Here is a 3,805-nt window from a genome sequence, read left to right on the forward strand (position 1 = left end):
GCCCCGAGTGCCAACTGTGCCTTTCACTTGCACTTGACTGAAAACACCCAGAAGACAGAAAGGCACAGTTTTTGCCCCCAAGAACTTAGAGTTTGGTGGGGAATCAAGCATATGAACTATTGGTAATAAACAGAGGAACACTGCTTATCCTCTGAAATCATAAGTCAAATTCTTCCATATACTAAGAAAATAAGAAAAATGGGGATACTATTAGGGCATATAAAGAACATTTCTCTTTACTCTCTTCAGGCTGTGGCTTGATCATTAAGAGCTTGAAGGATCATGGTCCTCTGATGACTTCATGTTAGTGCCACCTGTCTGGGCCACGGAGAACCCATGATGGAACTGAGAATCTGAGGAAGAGAAAAAAAAGATAAAAAAAAAAAAAAGGATCATGGACAGGGGCAAAATATTGATGAACTGGAGAGGGAATTTCTTTATATTTCCTGGCAAGGGTGAGCTCTGAAACTGATGTCATAGACAGATCTTAGAGGCCAGCTCCCAGTGGGAGTAAATTATCTTCCCATAAAATTCATCCATATGATAACTATTGATATTATCAGAGAGGAGTGTCTTCAATTAACAAAGATGCATACTCTTAACCATACCAAAAATACTTTAGGCTAATCAAAGGTAGACATTATGGAGGAAACAAGTCATGTTTCATGTCATTGATAAAGAACTTTCAAGTATTCTTTTTTAAGAACACTTTGATAGTTGCCTTGGTGGTGGACTTGGATCTGCATAGCGTCAAGCCCTTCATTCACTGTCATTTCCTACATGGATGAGGGGAACTATTTTAGAAAGGCTGGCATTTCCAAGGGTACCTGGTTAACTTTAAGGTCTGTAAGAGTAGGACCATGCTGTTTTTTGTTATCACTCTATTATCAAAATTTGTCACAGTCCCAGACCCATGACAGAAATAACATGTACATTGGTTAATGAAGAAGTAATTTAATCAAATGCAATGATTCTTTCCCAATTTGTGCTATTAAAAACAACAAATTAATACTCTGTTCTATTTTAATGATAGAAATCTTTTTAGGCAGGTGAGAATCTGATAATGTTTATAGTTAAAAAATGTCATTAATAAATCAATGGGTTCTGAAACCAATTCCCCCTGAAATACTTCTATTGCTATACATAATGTAAATATTTATTATAATCCAATATGAAATAAACTCCTTAAAATTTCCCCATTTCTTTGGAGAATTGGACCTGGACTTATTTTGAGAATAATTAAAAGTGAGGTTTCACCTTGGTTTATGTCAAATCATTACACCAGAAAATAGCTAAGAACATTGTTCTTTATAGAATCATGCCACTAGTATTATTATTTATTTTGATTAAAAGGATTTGTTATTAGAAGCAATATTTTCTCTCATACCAATTACATGCAACCACCAGCTTTTGAAAGACAAAGTAAGTTGCCGCCAGAATGACCCACAAGTTCCTATTTTCCTTTTTGTCTCAAGGTCATGTTAAAAAACATATTCGGCCTTGTATGGCTACTTTTGCTATTTTCTAGTGTTACTGTTCATATGTCCTTTCTCCAGTTTGGGCTGCTATAGTCCTTTGAAGCCTTGTTATTTATTTATTTATTTATTTATTGTTGTTGTTGTTGTTGTTTTCTATCAACTTCAGATTGAACTGGCTTCCTTCTTTCAGATGGCACTCACCATGTCAATGATAACAATCAACAAAAGACACCCATACACCCAAAGCTTGCGCCTTACTGACCAAAACCTAATAGTCTACTTGTACTACCTGCCAACATTCTTAAAAATACACAACATACTCATCCCTATAAGCTCACAGCAGCATTTTCACTAAAGGATGAAATCCTGGAACATTTAATTATCTTGAAAGCAAATGGTAATTAAACACTTTTCCTAACACTGGGAAGCTGGGGTGGTGAAGGAAAGAAAGCTAGGGATTGGAATCCATTATGTGGCAGAAGCTTCTGTCTGGTCAATTTAAGCAGATTGGAGCGGAGGCAGTCGCACATAACCGCCTCAGGTAAGGGAGCGCAGTGTTCCTGTGGGGTTATCAAACCGGCCAGGCCTTGAAGGCAGAGCAAAGCCCTTCCAGTGGGAAGTTCTTCCTAAGTGCTTGCATGGCATCCGCGGGATTATCCCACCCCACTCACACATCATCTGGCTTTAAACTTTAGGCCCTCTGGCAAAGAAGAGACGAAACATCTATTCGTCCCCTCCTCCCTCTTATCCCTCCGTTCTGCCTTTCCCATCCTGTTTCCTAGCAGCCGCTGGCTGAGGCCTGCCCTTCTCTGCCAAGCACCAGGCTGGATTAGCTGCAAGCCAATAGCTGGGGGTCAGGATTAAGAGGCCAGCGTGCACTTTAATACAAGCTGCCTATAATTAATGGCATTATTAATAGCTTGACTGAAAAATTCATTAAAAAATCCATTAAAAATAAATACCCTTTTACAAAAGGCATTGCCTTGGGTAAGAAAAACAGAAAAAAAGATAAAGGAAAATTGATTGGTGGCTTTCAGTTCACAGAAAGACAGACCATAGTTCAAACTGATTAAAATTGAACATTTTAGATTAAGCACCCTTGCCAAAATATTCTCTGTAGTTACCCAATATGAAAATATTATGACATGTCATATATTTATATTTTTATGTATCAAGGGTTGGGATATAAGACACACAGGTAGCTGTTTGAAGTAACTTTCTTCAAGTGAATACTCTTGACCCTCAGTAATAGCAGAATGTCCCGTGAAATGCTGGTTAACTGATTAACTCAGAGCCTCAAATGCAAAAGATCTGTTGAGAGGTGGAATATTCCCCATAAATTTATGACTTGGTGCAATTGTTTATCTACTTGAATATTTTCTGCATAAGTGCTAGCATTGGTCCTTTTTCTTCTTTTTTTTTTTTTTTTTGCATTCATACCACAGTTGTTCTTCTCCGTATATCAGGCTCTGTAACTTGGAATCGATCTTATCGAGTTTTGCCTCAGCCCAAATAAACAGTGTAGAAGGTGACTGGAATGTCTGTGGTTCGGATGTTTGCTAGGAGAAAAGTGGTGATGGAAGGGGAAAGTCCTGTTGGGTACACAGACTCCCCTGCCCCCCTTCCCATCTTCTCCCCTATAAAGGTTTGTTTGTGTTGATACTAAATCTGATCTTTTGGGTCAACTTTTCTCTGAGTCTAATCTGCTCATTGGTGTGAGATGAACATTGTCTTCCAGAGGTACAGGCGACCATGCCCTCTGAAAAAAAGACCCCATTCATGAGAGTATTTGCTTGAAGAGAGCTTTTATTCACTTCACCTGTTATGTTGTGCCTATAGAGCACAAAGCCAAGTGGAGATTAGGCAATTATCTGGTTAATAGGATCAACATAGACAAGAAGTTCATTCAATAGGCATTTCTGACTGCACACCACGCACAGCACAGCCCTGGATGGGTTGAGAGGCACAGGGTGAAGAGAGAACATGCTGCTGCTTAGTTCCTAACACAATAAAGGAAATGAGACATAAACACAGTGAACAACTGACATGCAATTTACAAGCAAGGGAAGAATCATATGGGATTCTATGTACTAAAGTGGGGAATATAGCAAGTTAAAAATTATAAGAGGTGGTTAAGCTGGGGTACATTTCTTGGAAAGGGAAATCAATGTCTCTATATGTTCAGAACGCTCCAGTTCACCCCCTTTTAAACCTGGTAATTTCAGACAGTGGATGCATGCTCTTTTAAAATGAATTAAAGTTCCTTTGTTGCCACTACACTAAGTTCTCAAAATTTATACTTAAGATGGTATTTAATTCCTGGAAAT

At 38.4% G+C, this 3,805-nt stretch overlaps 1 non-coding gene across 1 annotated transcript; it reads left to right on the forward strand.

Moving 5' to 3' along the window:
• The first annotated feature begins 285 nt into the window (after positions 1 to 285).
• On the forward strand, positions 286 to 361 carry LOC124900230 (small nucleolar RNA SNORD66). The gene has a single exon (XR_007059957.1). It is a non-coding gene; the product is annotated as a small nucleolar RNA SNORD66 (small nucleolar RNA).
• The last annotated feature ends 3,444 nt before the right edge of the window (positions 362 to 3,805 follow it).

This window comes from Homo sapiens, chromosome 6, assembly GCF_000001405.40.
Source record: "Homo sapiens chromosome 6, GRCh38.p14 Primary Assembly".
Lineage (NCBI taxonomy): Eukaryota > Metazoa > Chordata > Mammalia > Primates > Hominidae > Homo > Homo sapiens.